Raw genomic sequence first — 20,861 nt, 5'->3', positions numbered from 1 at the left:
AATTAAAATCTATTATGTGAACACGTGTTAACAGTTTTATCAACTACTGTTTTTAATTAACTAAACACACAGGGCCTCCCGCAGTAGAGATGATACCGTTTCATTGTAAATGACCCACCTCACCCTCTAATTCCCCGCCAGATTTATTTGGGAGTCTGGCTGGGAGCTTTATTGAAAACATACCACAGTACTGAATTCCGGAACCTGCCACAACAGCCAGTCTTCATTAAGTGTGTACAGGGCTTTGCAAGTGATTACATCCACGGGACCCTTGTTAATTTTCTGGTTCAGAGTCGTCACCAGCAAATAGAAGGGCTCTCCGACAGTCTCCTTGGAAAAGACACAAAAGTGACAGTTAGCTTTCTGTGGAATCCACTGTACTTTCCAAAGAATTAAAGTTTCTGTTTACAGCAGTAAGGCAGGAGACAGGGTTTTCTAACACTCAACATGAAACGCCCAAGAAAATACACGTTGCTCCACTTGGGATTGGATGCAAAACTCAGAAAACCGCCTCCTCTCTCCATCGCGAATGCACATCTGCACACGCGCACGCGTGCACATTCACAGCGACGTGCAGTACCCACAGTATACCTTGTTATTTTATGTTTAAACTTACATATGGCAGACTAATGCTCATCAGTGGGTTAATGCCTAGGAACAGTTAGATGTGGAGAGTGTACCTTTGTTTACATTCGTATTTAATCACCCTTTAGCAAGCCAGAAATAAACGACATTTAAAAAAATGCACAAGTATCCTTAGTAACAAGGATAAATGTAAGAACATTTTATACATTTGCCAAATACAATGTTTTTTGGTGTTAACAGCACTTCTCGAAGGAAGCAGCCTGCCGTTCAACAGTTTGCAGCCTTATCTCCTCTCCATGGGCCAGGCCAGGCCCGGCCCGGGCAGTTCCCAGACACACACTGCACAGTCCCACCTGGACATGTTTTCCGGTGCTGGGCCAGAGGGACTCCATCTTCTTCCCTGAACCAGAGCCAATTCCATTTCCTCTAAGGTTTTTCTCCAAACACTCGGCCCATCCCGATTGGCTCTTTCTACAAATTTAAGCCACATGCATTTTTCCTGGCTGGGGGTGGGGCTGCCTCCCCTGCTGTGATGGAAATGGCTCACATTCGCAGACACGGATGTCTGCATTCCAAAGGACTCTGAGCACCTCAAGTGGGAGGCGGTGTGTTCTGTTTCCACGGCATCCTCCCAAGGCACTTAGCCCTGGGTCAGCTGTAGAGTATTTGCTAAATAACGAACCTTCCGTAATCAATGGACATTAGGCCTCTGTGGTGGAGGAAGAACCGTGGCTGGGAAGTCAAAGTGCCTTAGTGATGACGAAAGGCCAGCCACGTGGCTGGGGCTCGAAGCGCCAGTTAAGAGTCAAGCTTGACAAGCGATACGTCCAGCTGGGAAAGGAGGATTCCACTGGGTCTCACCTGCTTTCCCTTGCGCAGGCAAGTTACCTAAGACATCTTAAGTCTCTCAGCATCCCACCCCAACCCTGTCCCTTCCTTTATACTTGCTGCAGGAATATCTGCCCTCCCCAGTCCCCGGGCTTCCTCTTGCCACCTCCTGCCACCCTGCAGCTTCTATCCCTGCTGTGATACCTCCTTGAGTCTCCTCTTCAGTGCAGGGCAGAAGTGGAAGTTCAGAAATTTCCAAGGTAGGGAGGGCAGCAGGACTAGTGCATGACATTTAATTCTCATGAGAAACTTCCTTTATTTAGTGGTTTACAACCTCACCCTTCTCTTCTCTTTCCCTCCACCGCCCACCTCCCCCACCCCAAGTAATGCCCTGACCACAAAACTTAGAACCTCTTTTCCTCCAGCACAGATCAGAAGGGAGGCTGAGAACCCTTGGATAGGGGCTGTGTACTCCCGCAGGGGTTGGAGTCAGGGGGCCAGGTGGGCTCTCGGGGGCTGTGTGAAGGGACAGGTCTTGACTCAGGAGGCCTGTGGTCAGGAATTCTCCAGAACTTTCTGGAGAGTAGCTAGACTGAGCTAAGTAACATCTGGCCCTACACTCTGCCCATGCTCCTGGGTCTAACCCTGGCTAATCACCAGAATCCCTTGCGGGCTCTTGTTAAGCATTCAGATGCCTGAGCTCCACTCTAGACCTACAGAGCTGCCATCTCTCTGAAGAATGAGGCCTGGGTATCTGTAGTTTTCATTACCTTCCCGGGGCCGGGGGCGGGGAGGCGGTGGGGGAGGAGGATTCTGATGTGTGGCTGATTTGGGGAATCACAGGGCCATGAGGTTTCTCTGTCACCACTAAACACAACTTTTAGGCGAGCCACAGCCGCTGCGTACGTGATTCCCCTCCCCCAGGGGCCAGGCTTCGACACTTTAACAGACCAGGGCAGATTCCATCTTTTCAGGGCACAGGGCGGTGGCTAAGAGCTCTCGGACCCTGGTGCTGTCCCACAGTAGCAGTGAGATCTGGGGAGAGTCACAGCTCTTCTGTGTTCCAGTTCCCCCATATACAAAATGGTCATGAAGACACTTAGCTCACAGGACCCTTAAGGGGATGAAATGAGAAAAGATAGGTAAAGCTCTTAGCATGCTGTCTGGCACATTCAATAAATGGTATTATTATTTTACCCACAAATCCTTGGTGTCTTGGAAGGGAAAGTTACCTGGCGGTCACGGAGCTACTGTCACCCACTAAACGTCTGTGGGGTAGGACAGGAGGACTAGGGCTGTCGGTGTCCCAGACCCCCTTGAGCACCTGGTGGAGGGACATCAGACCCCTGCACCAGCGGGAATTATTCCACTGAAAGTGAAAGTATCGCCGACTGGCTGGATGCCACTTCCTCCTGGCGAGCCGAGCCGCCCCCTCACCACTCAGAGTGCTCGAGACGCTCTTGAATCAGCACTGTGAAGTCTTGACCCAGAATGCTTTGCTCAAGGAGGCTGTTTGGGCTCGCAGCCCAGATTTTCTGAACATCTCACCCCTCTAATGCCCAAGAGCAGCCCTTGAAAGCTCAGAGTTAAGAATCACAAGATCCAGTAGAAAGAGCTGGAAAGGGATTTAAAGGCAACGCCCACACACGCCTGTCATTTGGTGGATTGAAAACAGATGCCCAGATGGAAAAAGCCATGCCCAGGGACACACAGCTGACCGGGGCTGAGATGGTTCCAGAGCCCAGACCTGCTGCTTCTAACCAAGACCCCTAGTGTGGTGCTCTCTCTACTATCCCAGGGACTTGTGAAAATCATGGATTACTGGGCTCCACTTCCGGAGCTTCTGATCCAGTGAGACTGTGGTGGGGCAGGAGTTGGCCTTTGAAGACCAAGACCAGGGAACTGGGTGAGAGTCCTGGTGCCTCCATCTAGCAGCTGTTGTGGCTAAAGCAAAGACAGTGGGAAACAAAAAAATATTCGTCCCAGAAATAACTGGCTCAACATCTCCCCAAAGCCTCCGATGATTTATACCAAGTAAACAGAAAAGAAGGCAGATTTCATTAATCTTAATAAATGGGTATTGCCTTAGGGAGAGGGAGGGGTTGGTGAGAAATTAAAAAAAAAATTGTTGTGCATCTACTTGTAAGATTGCATTAAACATTAAACTAAGCACAGTCTATTTAAAGCACTGCTGTTGGATCTAAACTTAAGTAGCACTGTTAAAACCTGTGGCATAGCAGTGTATCTTATTCAAAGTTTAATTAGATTTCGGAACTAGCTACAAATACACAATTATGCAGTTTTGCTGAAATCTGGATGGCTGGTAAAATTAAAGGATAAGAATCTTCTGTACCAGGGGCCTCAGAGGGCTGGGTGAAGATCGAGTTCAACAGGACACCCTTATTTTCACATTAATATTTTATAATCGTAACGGCCAACATTTATGGAGGCTTCCTTAGGGCTAAGCAATTGCCTATGTTTTCTCATCTGTACTTCAAAATAGTCCTAAAATCTTCTTCCAATTCTCTAGTTTATAAAACCAAGTAAGTGGTGAAGTCTAGATTCAGATCAAGTAGCAGACTTTAGGGCCCACCCTCTTCTCCACTGGAATCTATAGAAAGTTTGCATTTGAAAAGATTTTAAAGTTCAATTAGTGACAACCACATGCACACAGTAACTCCAACAAAGCAAACTCCAGGGGGAGGCAGCTCTTTGGAGAGCTGCTTTAATGCGGAATGACTGGTAGGAATTGACTGCAATTAGCTTACAGCATATTGGTAGGCAACGGGTATTTCTACAATGCTTCAGAGGGCCTGAAACAGTTTGTTCTCTGGTGTTTGAAATATTCCCTTTTCTCAGTACATTTTCTTAAATGGGCTGACTGGGCTCTGGGTGTGAATTGACGTGAGAAGGTAAACTCACCTGAAAAGTCTCACCTGACGAAATTCTAAATGAATTACATTTGCATAGGCCAGTTGCAGCAAAAACAATGTTTACTTTCCCTCTCTCTGTTCTGGGTCAGGACCAAGACGAAACATGGTTAAGTGCTGACACCATCGAGCATTCAGGATTTATCCTGGCAAAGGCATCAGAGTCCGCTAAAAATAACTGCCTATTGTCTTACCTCTGACATTGCTGAGGGATGTGACACTTACCCGGAGAAATCCAGAAAGGCAGACGGACATCCAGTTTGTGAGGAGTTTTTCGACGACGGACTCCGTGCGTCTCAGCATGAGTTTCGGCTGCATGTTACTACACTGTTCCATCAAGTCCCTGGTCAGCACCTCTAGGATGCTGGTCAGGTAGACCAGCTTGGTTTGCAGTGCAATGGTTAGGAAGGAGGCAAACAGACACCTGTTGAAAAAGAGAGCTGGGTGAACCATTGGCTGCAGGCCTAGCTGGACACCCATGGGAGTTTCCATGGAAGCTCACTGGCAGGGCAGGGAGCTGGCCTGTTGGGTTGGGAGCTTTTTTTTTTTTTTTTTTAATGTTTAGATTCTAACCACTTCTATCTCTAGAACATTTTCTGTGTTTTCAGCATTTAAACTAGAGTGGTAACAAGATGTGAGTCTTCCAAAGTTTCGGGATGTTTTAAAAATAAAAATTAACACTTCTGCTTTTTTTATTAAGAATTTATGGGCCGGGCATGGTGGTTCACGCCTATAATCCCAGCACTTTAGGAGTCTAAAGCAGGCAGATCACCTGAGGTCAGGAGTTTGAGACCAGCCTGGGCAATATAGCAAGACCCCATCTCTACTACAACAACAACAAAACATTAGCTGGGTGTGGTGGCATGCACCTGTAGTTCCAGCTACTTGGGGAGGCTGAGGCAGGAGGGTAGCTTGAGCCCAGGAGGATGAGGCTGCAGTGACCTATGATCACACACTTCAGCCTGGGCCACAGAGTGAGACTCCAACAACAACAACAAAAAAATTGTGTTGGGGTGGTATGATCTAAAATGGAGAGAAGGCTGCATAAACTCCCAATCAAATAGCCTTTGGAAAAGTGCATGTTCTCAAGATACCAAGTTCAGATAGTGGTTTGGAAATAAAATATGGGACTCAGGTTTGATTTCTCTCTCTTTTTTTTTTTTTTTGTAGAGACAAGGTTTTGCTGTGTTGGTCAGGCTGGTCTTGAACTCCTGGCCTCAAGTGATTGCCTGCCTTGGCCTCCCAAAATGCTGGGATTACAGCCATGAGCCACCATGCCCGGCCTGATTTTTTCTTAAAGGCTTTTAAAACATCAAAGAATGGACTAATACCTGTCCTTCACAGAAAAGTTCTTCTGCTTTTCAAGGGTGTGGATGACAGTAACAAGAAAGCTTTTATTACAGATTAGGGCATCCAAAGCTGTGAGACTTTCATTCTTGTCGTTGGCGTCTCTGTTCTGATAAAAAGAAAAAAATATATAGTATAATACAAAATCATATATAAGTTTAAAGTTAGAAAGTAGACCCACAATGGGTTTTCCAAGACAATGAATTATTCAATATTGAATTCATGATCCAAAAAAAACCCACAATAAAAATTCAAAGTAATAATAATAGAGATGATAGTGATGATGATAACACTATGAACATCAGGCAGTCACTGGGCTAAAAATGAAAACGTAGAGACTTACATGCATATCTTCAGTGAAGATGTGGGTGAAGCCACCTGACTGAGAGGAAGGAGACACTTTTATTATTCATAACATCCAAAGGAAATGAAGAGTGTATTTTTGTTATAATACCCAAGTCCGTTTTAATAAAGTAGAGACACTATTTGCTAATCTGAAGCGCCCCTGGGTTTATGGTGGCTGCGTATTCTCTAATACATAATAAATAATTATTCAGCTTTCAAGAAACGCCACTGAATTCCGAAAGCCTCTAAGAATAATAATTATCATGGCATTAGTTCCAGGTTTGGTAGATGAAGGTATCATCCCACGTTTTAGAAGAAGTGATTTAAGAGTTAAAGAAGGGGTCATTGATGAAGATTATGCAAATATCAGACCCCTCTTCAAGCAATTTACCTTCTAAAGATAAAGACTAAATTACGTTGTTAAGTTTTACAAGTCTTACCTAAGTAGCATCTACTGTTTCAATACACAATGATATTGAAAGACAGGGGGTAGTTAAAAGCATAGAATCTGGACCAAACTACTTGGGTTCCAGTCCTGGTTTTAATCACATACTGGTCACATGACGTGGGATGTGTTACCTAACCTCTCTGTGTCTGACTTGCCTCATCTCTGAAATGGGGACAGTAATGGTTCCCACCTCAGAGGTTTAGTGTGAAAATAAAATGGGTGCAGAGTAAGTGCCCTGTGTCAGTTATCATTACTGGTTTTATTCCTAATTTATAGCAAACTAGACCACAATGCTATCACCCCACTGGTTTCTAAATGCTAGGTAGCTCTGGAATATAAAAAGGGTTTATAGTGTATCATCAATCTTATTAAAAATCAATGGTTAAACTTTAAAAGTATGTTAAGCAATACTTTAAGTCCACAGAATGAGACTCTAAACTCAAAACATTCAAGTTTTTCTTCTTTTTTGATAATAATAGAAACTTTGAGCTAATTTTATATCTTGTGAAGTAAATTTCTTCTGTAGAGAATTTTGCTTCATAGTTTCAAATCTGCAAGCCCAAGCAAAAGACCTGAAACTATTTTGGCCATATCCTCCCCTAGTAAAAAGCAAAAAAGCCCCAAAAAAACAAACCAAAAAAACCCCCAGACCCTAGGTTTGCATTTTCTGGTTCTTAATATTTTTCTGCTGAACCAACTTCATGTAAATAGACAGGAGAAACAGGTTGATTCTTAATCGTAAATACGGAAGTGCCGCCCTGGTTCTCTCTGTGTGTTTTTTTGTTTGTTTTGTTTTTTTGAGACGGAGTCTTGCTCTGTCGCCCGGGCAGGAGTGCAGTGGCGCGATCTCGGCTCACGGCAACCTCTGCCTCCCGGGTTCAAGCAATTCTTTATTTTTTTTTGAGACGGAATCTCCCTCTGTCGCCCAGGCTGGAGTGCAGTGGCGTGATCTCGGCTCACTGCAACCTCCGCCTCCCAGGTTCAAGCAATTCTTTTTATTTATTTATTATTTTTTTTGAGACAGAGTCTCGCTCTGTCGCCCAGGCTGGAGTGCAGTGTGGCGCTATCTCGGCTCACTGCAAGCTCCGCCTCCCAGGTTCACACCATTCTCCTGCCTCAGCCTCCCGAGTAGCTGGGACTACAGGCGCCCGCCACCATGCCTGGCTAATTTTTTTGTATTTTTAGTAGAGACGGGGTTTCACTGTGTTAGCCAGGATGGTCTTGATCTCGGGTTCAAGCAATTCTCTGCCTCAGCCTCCCGAGTAGCTGGGATTACAGGTGCACGCCACCATGCCTGGCTAATTGTGTATTTTTAGTACAGACGGGGTTTCACCATGTTGGCCAGGCTGGTCCCTAACTCCTGACCTCAAGTGATCCACCCGCCTCGGCCTCCCAAAGTGCTGGGATTACAGGCTTGAGCCACCGCGCCTGGACCCGTGGCTCTCTGAGTTTTAAGGCTGCTTCCTCCTTTCATTCAAATTTCCCTTTTCTTCAGCTTAGATCCTCTGCCTACCCTTATTTCTTCTCCTACTTTATGCAAAGCAAAGAAGAGTCAATAAAATAAAAAGCAAGGCTTTAAAAGCCAAAACCGACAGGCAGAGCAAAGAACCCTGGCCTCCTTTGAGAACCTACAATCTCCTCTGGATTTTGCCTGTTGCTTTTTTGTAGGTGCTGAACACCCAAATCCTACCCCCACAGCCCCCAACCTCCAGGCCTAGAGGATTCGGCTTCTGATCAATCCATAAAGAGCCTAATTAATACCAGGACTTATCTGCAGCCTGGAATGCATTTAAGTGGCATTGTCTTCTTACGATCTGTTTCCCTGTTCTATCTTTTCTTAATTATTATAAAATCAGTTTTGACTTAGGTCTTCTTGAAAGGGTTCTGACAAATTTATGCATGTTTTTTCCTGGGTTCTCTCCTTTAAACAACTTCTGACTTCAATTTTTATGACTTTCCCAGTTGTTTTTCAAGATTATACACAACACTGAGTTAAATCAGTTTGCCTCCTTTGCAACTATCTCTCTTCTCCTAAAATAAGGTAGCATTGTTCCTGGGATCTTTTTTTTTTTTTTTTTTTTGGAAACACTCAACTTGCAACAGTGTTCCTTTACATTCATTACTCTATCTTGTTCTTGATTACCAAATTTAGAAGATAAGAACATTTCTTTTTTCAGGCCACAGATTATTCAGCACTCAAGGGCAATCATTAACTGTAAAAGCCCACACAGCATTCATGTTGATAGTCAAAAATCTCCGTTATTTTATTGCTTTTAAATTCTTAATGGGGATCTCAGATAGCTCAGAAATAGGACTCGTGATGCAACCTTTGCAGAAGCCCCACACAGTCATCCTGATTCGGGGAATCGAATTCCTTTCCCCAGGCGGTGTTCTGCCATAGAAATGGATGAGGTGGCAAATGGTAGATCTCGGTGCCTCGGTACTCTTGGAGGATAAGTTAAAGGAAACAAACTTCACCAGCACAAAAAGCTGAAGTCTTATTTACAGCCTTCTTGATTTATAACACTAAGGCTTGGACCAAAAAATATGGCAGGTGTTTTATGGAGGCATTCCAACCTCCAGACCCCGCATTACATATCATGGTGTCCTCTTCTAAATTATAGAGAAACTGGAAATTGCTTACTGCATGTGTCTGGGTTTCTGAACTCTAGGCTTCTGGCCAATTGTTCCGGAGAAGCTTCTGGTAAGGTGATACAAACTCTCCTTTGGCCTGGAGAGATTTCAGCCGTTGCTTAGAAGTCTAGATTGAAATGTGATCATTGGTATTGATGTGTTTAAGAGGTTGGGCCTCTATGTGGTCATCATACCGCAAAAAAGAAGGGCAATATGGCAGAGCTGGGGTATCAGGACATGGCAGTGATGATACGCAGGATGAGTGTACCTCGCCAAAGACTTGGGAGGGTAAATGGAGAAGGCTGAGTGAGTGGGTGAGAAAATGGAGGCGTGAGAACATAGGTAAGACCAGCAACCCAAAAGGTTAAGTAGACGACTCCTCAGAGCCCTAGAACAAATGAATTAATCAGTTCGTGCATCTACGTCTACTAAATGAGGACAATACAAACTGACCAGCTAAAGAAAAACTACCAAAGAGAACCATAAGAACTCTACATGGCTAAAAATGCCTGTTTTCAACTCCAATTCCATCCATGTCTACTTTCCTCCCTTTTGACCAGTAGTATTTTTCCTTTCCAATTGAGAAGTAATAGTGAATAATCTAGTCACTGCAATGTAAGTCATGCAGATAAACACAACAAATTGGCTAGCTCACAATTTATTGATTTTTAAATAAACTAGCTCACTTCCCAGCTACACATTCAGTTCTACATTGAGAGTAAAAGAAAGCAAAAATCATCACTCTGAGCTTCTGTCCCTCCTAGGTTTTTGTTACTGGGCAAAGAATAATCACCAGTGACCCATCACTGTTTTATACCCTAATCAATGCAATTAATAATTACCCTCCTCCCTGCTCTGCTCAAACTTAAGCCATTATTTTTGTACCAAGCACATTATAGCTGCCTTGGAAGCAAACACTCGTTTTGACAACAGCAACAAGCACCTTCATTATTATTCAAGACTCAACCTTCGGAATATGATCAATGCTCTTTTACCTCAGGGAAGAAAGTTCTCAGAGCAAAATGTTTGTAGTCAAGGAAGGGAACAGTTCCAAAACTATCAACCACATCCAATTTATCCATCTGCAGCTCAGCAAAGCCTGCAAAACAGAATCCCAAGAGCAATATTTTAACTCAACAAACAATGGATAGGATCTTCTGCTGTTTTGTCTAACACAGAGTATGACCTTGGTTTTCATTAAAGAAGAAACAATAGATAATGACTTGGTTGGCTGCAGAGAAGAGCTGAAATAAAACACAAAGCCAGGCCCAGGCCCTGCCCTTCCGTTGCCTTCTATTATACAAACAGTTCTCATTACTGTGGCCATCTCTATGTAAGGGTAAAAAAATAAAAGTATAAATATAAAAGGCTTGTTTTTCTACAAACACAATTTTGGAGCCTACCGTCACGTATCTCTTTCCGGAGCTCGCTTTCCAGCAATTCTAGTTGTTGACTCTGTTTGCGACTCAGCTCCTTCGATTTGTGCCTGGTCACCCCCACGGCCGCTAAGAGACAGAGATGCTGCATCAGAGGGACATGGTAACTCAAAAACCAAAAATGAAAACAAATAGCAATCTTTACAGTTCTTAAAAACAAAAACAAAAACAAAACAGATAGGGACAGAGAGCAGGAGCTAGAATGAAACTAGAAAATAGCATTAAAAAGCTGGATCTTATAAGAAAATTTCCCAGTGAGGGGTCACTCTGAAGAGGAAGATGCCAAAATGCAGCAGAAAAAAACCAAAACCTTACTCATTTTACAAGTGAAAGCTAAATCAAATAACCTTCACTTGTAACCAAAGATCCCAGTTGGCTGAAACGTAATGAAACAAGCCAAGTTTCTTCCCCACAGCTGCAGCCACTTGCATTGTTCCATTGTTTTTGAATGTTTGTAAGCATCCCTGGAGAAATAAAGTTGTGCTGCAAACGTAGAAAGGAACCGCAGATCCACAGTTGGCTACATGGGCCAAACCTGCATAGAGCTAATGGGGTGACATGATGAGCGAGCCACAAGGAACTCCCATACCTCCATATTGCTTCTAACTGTGCTGCAGAGGCCATAAACCAACCCAGTTTGGTGCTTGGGTTCATGTCCTTGCTCTGCCATTTACTAGCTATGTGACCTGGGTTAAGTTCCTCAGCATCTCTGTGCCTGGCTGCCTTCTCTGTAAGAGTGCCTATCTCACTGTGATGCTGGGAGGATTATAAGAAGTAACTCACAAAAAGCATTAAGAATGTATTGTTTAAAAAAGTATAGGTATTCAACAATCAACCACTGTTATTCTAGGAAGCTTCTCCTCCTTATAGAAATTACAGCCAGGTGCGGGGGCTTACGTCTGTAATTCCAGCTCTTTGAGAGGCTGAGGTGGGAGCATGCCTTGAGGCTAGGGGTTTGAGATCAGCCTGGGCAACAGAGAAAGATATTTTTCTGTCTCTACAAAAAAATAGAAAATTAGATGGGTGCGATGGTGCATGCCTGGAGTCCCAGCTACTTGGGAGGCCGAGGTGGGAGGACCACTTGAGCCCAGGAGGTCAAGGCTGCAGTGAGCCGTGATCGTGCCACTGCACTCAGCCTGGGCAAAAAAGTGAGACCCTTTCTCAAAAAAAAAAAAGAAATTACATAATAGACGGGCTCTGCTACCAATAATGCTGGAGGAAACAAATATGGCTCTTCACTGGACTACTTCATAAAGTCAACAGTCTTAATAACATGCATTGTGCATGTCTAAGAAAGGGTGGAGTATGATGTAGTGATTCCCAAACTTACTTGACCATGGAACCCCTTTTTCCAGGACAGTCACTTGGGACCACTGTTCCTCAGGCCTCAGTTTGAGCAACACTGGCTCATGCACGCAAAGGCTCATTTTTTTCTAGCTCCAGAGACTTGCACAGTTATCAGCAACATAACAGGTGCTCAATGAACATAAGGTAAATAGATGCAGGGATGAATGAGTGAATAAATGAGTGTATAGAAGGAGACACTGGCAACTGCCTGTACTAGCTGTCAAATTTCAGAAAGTCAATACCTATGTTAAATCAGGAAATACAAAGTGCTTTTTTTTTTTTTTTTTTTTTTTTTTTCTGAGACGGAGTCTTGTTCTGTGGCCAGGCGGGAGTGCAGTGGCACGATCTCGGCTCACTGCAACCTCCAGCTCCCGGGTTCAAATGATTTTCCTGCCTCAGCCTCCTGAGTAGCTGGGATTACAGGCACGTGCCACCACACTCAGCTAATTTTTGTATTTTTAGTAGAGACAGGGTTTCACCATGTTGGTCAGGATGGTCTCGATCTGCTGACCTCGTGATCCACCCGCCTCAGCCTCCCAAAGTGCTGGGATTACAGGCATGAGCCACCGGGCCCAGCCAAAGTGCTATTTGTTGGTGGATAAGAGTTCCTTTTTCAAAGAAGGATGAGAGAAAATAGACTTCAAATGACAAGCAGCTCAGAACCAGAGTCACAAACGAAATGGCTACAGATATCAGGTACATAGATGAGTTAAATGGCCTAGGTGGAGACAATATGGAGTGGTGGCGACTGTGGTCAAAACCTAGGGAGCACATTCCCTCTCTCTAGGGCGTAGCTGCTACTCAGCTCTAATAAACTGATGCTATGGAAATTTGGGATCCAATGATCCAAATCTTTCACATTTTCAAGAGACGTTTCCAAATGTGAATCACTAATTTTTAAATGTTATAAGCTACTTAATAGTTTTAGACAATGCTACACGGCAAAACAAAATATATTGGTGGACCAGATTTGGCCAATGAGCAACCACCATGGGCTCACTGTGTGTGGATGGGCCCGGGACCACTTTAAGAGATGACATAGATCACACTTCTATTAAAAAAAATCATTTACTTTTTAGACACAGGGCCTCATTCTGTTGTCCAGGCTGGCATGCAGTGGCACGATCATAACTCACTGTAACCTCAAACTCCTGGACTTATGCCGTCCTCCCTCCTTGGCCTCCCAAAGTGTTGGAACTACAGGTGTGTGCCACTGTGCCCAGGCATGACCACACTTCTAAAGTGTGGTTCTGCCCAGAAAATCAAGACTGAAATGAGGCTGGGGTGATGGGTGGTGGGGGGTGGTCAAGATGAAATAACCAAGTCCTGGGAGCCCAAAATCCCAGAGAAGTTCTTGGGGAATTACATAAATGAACATTTGTCACCACAATTTGAAGGAATGGAGAAGCAAAGTAGATTATATCCCTCAAATCCCAAGATACCATCTGTGTAATCCAGCCTTCTATTAATGAAGCATCCTTTAAAAAAAAATTTTGTTTTTTGTTTGTTTGTTTTTGAGATGGAGTCTTGCTCTGTCACCCAGGCTGGAGTGCAGTGGTGTGATCTCGGCTCACTGCAACCTCCGCCTCCCGGGTTCAAGCAATTCTTCCTACCTCAGTCTCCTGAGTAGCTGGGATTACAGGCACCTGCCATCACGCCCGGCTAATTTTTGTATTTTTAGTAGAGACGGGGTTTTGCCATGTTGGCCAGGCTGGTCTTGAACTCCTGACCTCAAGGCGATCCGCCCGCCTCAGTGTCCCAAAGTGCTGGGATTATAGGCATCAGCCACCACGCCTGGCCAAAAGAAATGTTTAGAAAGCCCTCAGCGTGTACCTATTATTCGTTTCTCAAAGTTTTGATTTGGGCTTTCACCCATTTATACTTAATTGAAGCAAACAGCCCCTGAAAGCTGAAAGTCTGCCTGCCCGGCGAGAGGCCCCAGGGAATAATTTCTCTGACAAAATTAAACAGGGCACTTACCAAAAATGACAATCACTAGCAAGACAGGGAGCACAATCAGAAAATACCATGTGGAAGGAACTGACTCCTGCTCGACGTAGAGCTCCAGGTTTCCCAGCTTGACCTGATGGGACAAAGAATGTCATTAGACCCAATTGAGTTGGGGACTGTATTTATTTACATAATTTCCCCCCTAAAATGGCTTCACAATACAAAAAGAAGCAGTGAGCTGGGTAGGATATCTGAGTTCAACTCTCATTTCTGTGGCAGATTAGCTATGTGTCCTTGGGCAAATCCAGAATATTCACTGTGCCTCAGTTTCCTGAAATGTCAGTTGACACATGCTGGACTAGACCCTCAGAGTCTTAATTTTGGCCCTCTTTGCTCTGGGGGTTTTAAGTTGCAGGAGTGAGGGCAATAAAGAGGCAGTAGTAACCTGTAGGCAAGAAGCCCCTGCCTGCCCTTTATTCTAAGGAAGAAACTCAATTTTTATCATTTTTACAGGCAGGCTTATTTTGTTTTTGTTTTAGAGACAAAGTCTTGCTCTGTTGCCCAGGTTGGAGTGCAGTGGTGTGATCATAGCCCACTGTAGCCTTGAACTCATCATGGGCTCAAGTGATCCTCCCACCTCAGCCTCCCAAGTAGCTGGGGCTACGGTACACACCACCACACCTGGCTAATTTTTAAATTTTTTGTAGAGACGGGGTCTCACTATGTTGCCCAGTCTGGTCTCGAACTCCTGAACTCAAGCGATCCTCCCACCTCAGCCTCTCAAACTGCTGGGATTACAGGTGTGAGCCACTGTACCTGGCATCCTATTTTGAATAAAACATTCTGTGGCAAAAACCAGATTGGCAGTGCTGATCAGATCATCCCTGAGGGATTTTTCCAGTTTTAGCATTTTTTTGGGTTATATTTTGTGAAACTTGTCAAGGGAAAAACTCTACATGAAGCTTAATTATTTCACTGATGTACATACAAGTATTAAGGCGTGTTTCCATCCTTGGACTCATGCTGCCCCCGTGGAGGCATCTGAGCACAGTAGCTGGAGGATGGATTTGGACCCGGATAGCTGAAGCTCTCCATACCAGCTCTGCCACCTGCTCTGTTTCTCAGCTATGGAACCCTGAATTAGGTATGCACATCCAGTCCTCTTTTTCCTCATCTCTGAAATGGGATGTTGGGAGTGCCTCTTGGTAGGCTGTCCTGACTAAATTCATGACGTCATCTGAATAAGTCAGCTCATGGCGCCCTCCTCAAAACTCTCCCATGCCTTCTGCAGCCCACAAGCCAAGCCCTTGCCATGGTCCACAAGGTTCTAATCATCTCCTGTTGTCTCCATGAACTCTCTAACCTCAGAAGCCTCTGCTCTGCTCCCTCCACTCCAGTCACACTGGCCTCCTTGCTGCTCTTCAAACATGCCAGGCAGCCTCCTGCCTCAGGACCTCTGCTCCCTCTGCTCCCTCTGCCTAGAACGTTCTACCCCAGATAGCCCATGGCTTGTTCCCACTCCTCCTTATACAGATGTCACTTTCACAAGCAGGCCTCTTCTGCCCACCGTTGCAAAACCTGCAGCATGGCCCCCCTACCTGCTCCTGTTCCCACCCCCCCACCCCCCCACACTGGTGCTTTTTTTCTCCATAGCAACTGCCACCAAGTAACACAATTTTTATTTATATTCTTCACGCTGTGTCTCTTTAGGGAACCTCCATAAAGGCAGATGTTTTTGTCTGTTTTATTCTCTGTCTGTCCCCATCACAGCGTAGGCTCTCAGGAGCTATGTCATGAATGATGAAGAATGTTAGCATTTGCTCTTCTCAACTAACAGGAAAGGTGGGAACACTGGTGAGTTGAGTTGTTGTTCCTTATTTTTTTTTGAGACAGGGTCTTACTGTGTTGCCCAGACTTCTAGAGGCTCAAGTGATCCTCCTGCTTTGGCTTCCCAAAGTGCTGGCATTATAGGCTTGAGTTGTCTCTCCCAGCCTAGTTGTTATTCCTGACTTAAAACTTACTATTGGCTGGGCGCGGTAGCTCACACCTGTAATGCCAGCACTTTGGGAGGCCGAGGCAGGCAGATCACTTGAGGCAAGGAGTTTGGGACCAGCCAGCCCAACACAGTGAAACTCCGTCTCTACTAAAAATAGAAAAAACTAGCCAGGTGTGGTGGTGCGCACCTGTAATCCCAGCTACTTGGGTGACTGAGGCATGAGAATTGCTTAAAACTGGGAAGCGGAGGTTGCTGTAAGCCAAGATCGTGCCACTGTACTCCTGCCTGGGTAACAAAGTGAGACTCTGTCTAAAAAAACAAATAAAACTTATTATTAACCCCATTTATCATACAGATGGACTAAGAGAGGCTCAGGAAACTCAAGTGATTTACCTAAGGCCACAGAGCTATTAACTGGTGCCAGTGGGACATGAACACATTTTTGTTGTTGCCTTCCAGTCTGAAGTTCTTTTGCATTGTCTTTTATCCAATTATTTATGATGATAGATCAAGAAGAATTTATATAGGCTGTACAGAGCCTCATACGGCATGAATACTATAAAGGGTGACTTCTAATGTGTTTCCCTTCTCAGTGGTCTCACATCTTTATTATGGGATATAAATATAGCAGTGATCCGTCCCCCAAACATATCTGGGAAAAGATTAATCGCAGAAAGTATGACTTCATGGTGAAGGAAGCAGCCCATGACCCAGAGATTATCTGGTCTCCATCTGATTCTAATGCTACCCAGAGTGTGCTGAAGAGGCCCTTGTTTGTTTTGGGTTTCTGCTAAGACATGTCACCTCCGCATTTGAGAAAAGAGTGACAGCTCATTTGTCAATGGGTCTAGAGATTTTGCTTGCCGATCCTACTGTATAAATGTGTGGCTAGAACAAAAGCTATCAAGACTCATTAGGATTATAGACAATGGTGTGTCCAACGCTTTGACGTTCGAACAGGCACAGGGATGGATTCAGCCAGCTATTTTGGAGCTATTTTGCTTGGGCTCGCAGTACCAGCTTTGTTTATCTTCTATTTAAAGTGAGGATCTGAAGATCCATGAAAGATTCCATTCTGGCCTCTGGTTTAGCCAAGGAATTATCACAAAAATCAGGTAAAGACAGCAGGTGGGACTGCCAGGTCACTTACCCGAACTTTCTTAGAAGAGTTGGCAATGGTGCTTGCAGTCTTGATGCCTTTAATTTTGCAAAGGATGGTGGTAAGATCTTGATTTCTAGTAATATTTTCAAAACTGCAATTTAATTGCCCATTTTCCCCATGGAAGAGAGTAATTTCAATGTCTTTTTTGGAAATGTTGAAGTTGTCATTTTCTTTCTGTAAAGAACAAAATGAAGATGGAGAAATCAGAGCACATGTAGAAACTCACGAGCATAAACACACCTTTCCAGTCAAGGGGTCGGGGTGACATCCCACCCAGAAAGAAAAGAAACATACTTGAATTTTCACTTCCAGTTCTGTGTCCACCTCGGATTCCACCCGATACCCCGTGAATCTGGGGTCCTCCCGATACTGCAGGGTTCCACAATCCAAGTAGGTGTCTTGTACTCTCAGCTTCACAGTGACATTCGTGCGCACTTTTGAACTCTTTAAACTGGGGGCTAAAAACCCGCAGTAAGTCGCCACACAATATTCAGAGACCTGGACAAAAAGAAAAGAATGTTTTAGTAACTTTGTTAACGAATCCCAGCTGTGATCTCTAAGAGCTAAGTGACCTGAGCAACTTAACTTCTTGGTGCTTCTGTTTTCTCATGTGTAATATGGAGACAGCAAAACTACCTCCCTCACAGGATTGACTTCACCCTACATTACATTAAATGAGGGCTACGTTAACTGAGATTATACATGCTTAGATCAGGGCCCGGCACACAGTAAGCACTCAAAACATGCTAGTTAATATTATGATTAATATCATGAGTGACAATGAAAGCAGCTGGAAGGTTATGCCATGGGAAAAGAGACTAGGCTGAAAGCAGTAGGCTAGGGAAAGGGGAAGATTCTGACCCAAGGGGCTTAGGTGTCCTTGGGGTCAGCCTGTCTGAGCCCTGGGAAACCACGAGAAAAGAAAAGTGTCCAACTCTCAGCAAGGGCCAGCTCCTGAAGCGCTTGTTGCAGCTGAATCACCCTTTGTTGGGGGAACCTCCTGCAGGGCCTTAGCAGAAGTCACTAGACACAAGGAGGACAAGGGTTTTCAGGCATAACAGAAAACAGGAGAAAACAAAAGTAAAAGGAACAATGCATCTCCCATGAAATGAAGAGCATGAAAACTGAAAACAATGCAAAAAAGGTGGCCTGATTTACAGGATTAAAAAAAAACAACAACACATAAATAGGCTGGGCGTAGTGGCTCACGCCTGTAATCCCAGCGCTGTGGGAAACGGAGGGAGGAGGGTTACGTGAGCCCGGGAGTTGGAGATCAGCCTGGGTAACACAGTGAGACCCTGTCTCTCTCTATATATATAAAAAATAAAATTTAAAAAGTTAGTAAATACATAACATAAATATATTGTCCTGTTTAGGTGTACAGAAGGACAGGCAGAGGAGGCTGGTGGGTTAGGGGAGGATGGCAAACATTCTACAGAAAAGCAATTATAACTCATAAAAAGAAATTTATCAGGTGGGAAAAACTATTTTTCCCCCACCCCCGCCACCCCCTGATACTAGAGCATAAAAAAGACAATAGGAAGAGGCAATTGGTGGGAAAATATGATGTAAAGAGCTGAGATTTGGACAAGCACAACCTTCCTTTCCCTTCACATCTTTCCAAACTATAGCCCTGAATCTCCTGCTCACATTTCTGTCCTCAGGATGAAAACCACTGTCTCTACTGCCTCAGCAGCCTTAACTCCTAGCAGGCTGGCTTTTTACTGAAGATGCCTTCTAGAAGGATTGCAGGTGAGAGGATCACCCAACCCTATTATCCTCAAGACTCTACAGTTCCATACTCGTGACAAACTCGCGCCATGCGATTTACTCTTTTTCACTGGTTTCTGAGCACCTTCTCGGCCACCTTCACGGCCCATCCTACTGTCTGTCATTCCTTAAAATGAAGCTTTGCCACCAGTCCTAGGTGCTCTTTTCTTCCTCCTCTGTGCTCTCACTCCCATGATGTCACCCCCACTCTCCCTTCAACGATACTGCTATAAAGACAAGCTGGTCATCTCTAGCTTCACGATGCCCCAGCACTTGAGACCTGCTCTGCTAACCACAGCCCAAAGGGAGCTACTGTCAGCCCAGAGAGACTGTGGACGTCTCAGACACACCTGCACTGGCATGAGCATCCTCACTGGGCTCCCAGCCTTTCTTCAGTTCCTGCCTCTCCAAACTCAGCTGTGCACCATTGCCAAAATAATAACCGCCCTGCAGGAGGTTCCCCAACAAAGAGTGATTCAGCGGCAACAAGCACTTCAGGAGCTGGCCCCTGCTGGGGGTTGGACACTCTCTTCTTTTCTCGTGGTTTCCCAGGACTCAAGACAGGACACCGAAGCCTTTTGGGTCAGAATCCTCCCCTTTCCCTAGTCTACTGCTTTCTGCATAGTCTCTTTTCCCATTGGTAACCTTCTGACTGCTTTCATTGTCACTAATTGTCTCGGTCCAGTGTGAGTCCAGTGTACCTAGACCTATGTCACTTCCTGCTCAGAGATCTTCAGTGGCTCCCTGCTGCCTACAGAATTAAGGGCAAAGTTTTCAGTCTGACGCTGCTTTTTGTGGCCCCAGCTCAGTTTTACAGCTATCGCTCTTGGTCATTCCAGACCCACCCTCTAGGTTCCCACTAAGCAGGATTGAGTGATGTTCCCAGCACGGGCCTGCGAGGACTCTGTCCTCTGTACCTGAACTCACCTCCCTGCTTCCACCCACCCCACTCCATACTGCAGGCGTACTTAATCCCATGCATGTTTAATTTCTCTTTAATGTGAAAAGAAATGGTGTCTTCTTGGACTCACAGGGTTTCTGAACAGTTAGGGAACCAGAGGACCTAGAACCTGATGATACTCTGTGCTGTCAACTTTTTTAATTTTTATTTTATAGAGATGGGGGTCTCACTATGTTGCCTAGGCTGGTCTCGAACTCCTGGCCTCAAGCAGTCTTCCCGCCTTGGCCTCCCAAAGTGCTGGGATTATAATCGTGAGCCACCACACCCAGCCTCAACTTTCAATCCCAATGTAGATTTGCTGCCTGCCTCCATGAAGGCAATATGACTATCTCACTTATCTTTTGTCCCTGCACCCAGCAAAATGTTTTGCCTGCAGTAGGTGCTCAAAAAATTCAACTTGATTTGGGAACAGCAAGTAGGAGGGAGAGCAAGTCCGTGACAAACTCAGGTAATGCCTCTGCTCAGAGGGTCAAACTATACGAGCCATTCAACTGGAGGTGTTCACACCATGGAGATGAGGCCTGGAGTCAGATACAGTGTGAGGCTTGGAAGTGGCTCTGAACTGTGTCAGCAGGTGAATGTGTGCACCACAAGGCTGTAAGGACGGCCTATCAGGCGGCCCCCGGAATTTGGGTCTGAACCCACACTGCTCCTGAGGAGGGAGTGTGTCAGCCTTGGCAGGAAGTGGTCAGGCAGGGCCCCAGAGAGGCAGCCACCTCACATATCTCATCAAGGAGAGGGAAAAAGGGGAAGAAAGAATGGGGAAGGATATTTAGAAGTGTGTGCAAGTACACTTGGAGGCCTGACTTGTATGTGAAATCCCTCATCTCCCCTCTTGGCATCAGAAGCTTCCATCTAGAGCAGCCGTGTCCAGCCTTTTGAATGTGAGGACTTTTTTGCTTATCTGTGGTGGTGGATATCACGGAAATTATGCACAAACCATTTTTTAGCTCATTAGCTATCGTTAGTGTTGGTGTATCTTATGTGTGGCCCAAGACAATTCTTCTTCCAATGTGGCCACAGGAAGCCAAAAGGTTGACACCCCTGCTCTAGAGGATCCCCATCTGGAGGCACCAGTGGGAGAATCGGGCAAAGGTGGAAACCAGACCCCTCCTACCATTT

General features: G+C 45.0%; 1 protein-coding gene across 6 annotated transcripts in view, besides 5 other annotated features; it reads right to left on the bottom strand.

Annotated features, from left to right (window-relative positions):
* Positions 1-20,861, bottom strand: part of PLXNC1 (plexin C1) — a 159,099-nt gene that overhangs the window by 42,267 nt on the left and 95,971 nt on the right. For 3 of the 6 annotated variants that reach the window (NM_005761.3, XM_047428050.1, XM_011537730.4), the window contains exons 13-21: positions 17,303-17,506; positions 16,997-17,182; positions 13,881-13,983; positions 10,521-10,622; positions 10,113-10,216; positions 6,034-6,072; positions 5,675-5,799; positions 4,569-4,767; positions 184-330 (exon numbers count right to left, since the gene is read on the bottom strand). In NM_005761.3, the coding sequence (NP_005752.1) occupies positions 184-330; positions 4,569-4,767; positions 5,675-5,799; positions 6,034-6,072; positions 10,113-10,216; positions 10,521-10,622; positions 13,881-13,983; positions 16,997-17,182; positions 17,303-17,506 (1,209 nt within the window). Of the gene's footprint in view, positions 1-183; positions 331-2,645; positions 2,791-4,568; positions 4,768-5,674; positions 5,800-6,033; positions 6,073-8,716; positions 9,506-10,112; positions 10,217-10,520; positions 10,623-13,880; positions 13,984-16,996; positions 17,183-17,302; positions 17,507-20,861 lie in introns of those variants that run through there. The other 3 variants (XM_006719186.5, XM_011537731.4, NR_037687.2) reach the window with 3 other exon arrangements.
* Positions 403-1,166: an enhancer, noted in NCBI's record as "OCT4-NANOG-H3K27ac-H3K4me1 hESC enhancer chr12:94658019-94658782 (GRCh37/hg19 assembly coordinates)". NCBI's record gives its function as "activates a minimal SCP1, AML or CMV promoter by ChIP-STARR-seq in naive and primed H9 embryonic stem cells {active_cell/tissue: H9 hESC(naive and primed)}" and the evidence as "EXISTENCE:reporter gene assay evidence [ECO:0000049][PMID:30033119]".
* Positions 1,167-1,931: an enhancer, noted in NCBI's record as "OCT4-NANOG-H3K27ac-H3K4me1 hESC enhancer chr12:94657254-94658018 (GRCh37/hg19 assembly coordinates)". NCBI's record gives its function as "activates a minimal SCP1, AML or CMV promoter by ChIP-STARR-seq in primed H9 embryonic stem cells {active_cell/tissue: H9 hESC(primed)}" and the evidence as "EXISTENCE:reporter gene assay evidence [ECO:0000049][PMID:30033119]".
* Positions 2,122-2,201: a silencer, noted in NCBI's record as "silent region_4726". NCBI's record gives its function as "represses an Ori minimal core promoter by ATAC-STARR-seq in GM12878 lymphoblastoid cells {active_cell/tissue: GM12878}" and the evidence as "EXISTENCE:reporter gene assay evidence [ECO:0000049][PMID:35858748]".
* Positions 3,722-4,464: an enhancer, noted in NCBI's record as "OCT4-NANOG-H3K27ac hESC enhancer chr12:94654721-94655463 (GRCh37/hg19 assembly coordinates)". NCBI's record gives its function as "activates a minimal SCP1, AML or CMV promoter by ChIP-STARR-seq in naive and primed H9 embryonic stem cells {active_cell/tissue: H9 hESC(naive and primed)}" and the evidence as "EXISTENCE:reporter gene assay evidence [ECO:0000049][PMID:30033119]".
* Positions 16,530-16,730: a silencer, noted in NCBI's record as "peak1895 fragment used in MPRA reporter construct". NCBI's record gives its function as "represses an SCP1 promoter by STARR-seq MPRAs in K562 erythroleukemia cells {active_cell/tissue: K562}" and the evidence as "EXISTENCE:reporter gene assay evidence [ECO:0000049][PMID:32103011]".

This window comes from Homo sapiens, chromosome 12 (genome assembly GCF_000001405.40).
Source record: "Homo sapiens chromosome 12, GRCh38.p14 Primary Assembly".
Lineage (NCBI taxonomy): Eukaryota > Metazoa > Chordata > Mammalia > Primates > Hominidae > Homo > Homo sapiens.
This window is presented reverse-complemented; position numbering and strand designations above follow the sequence as displayed.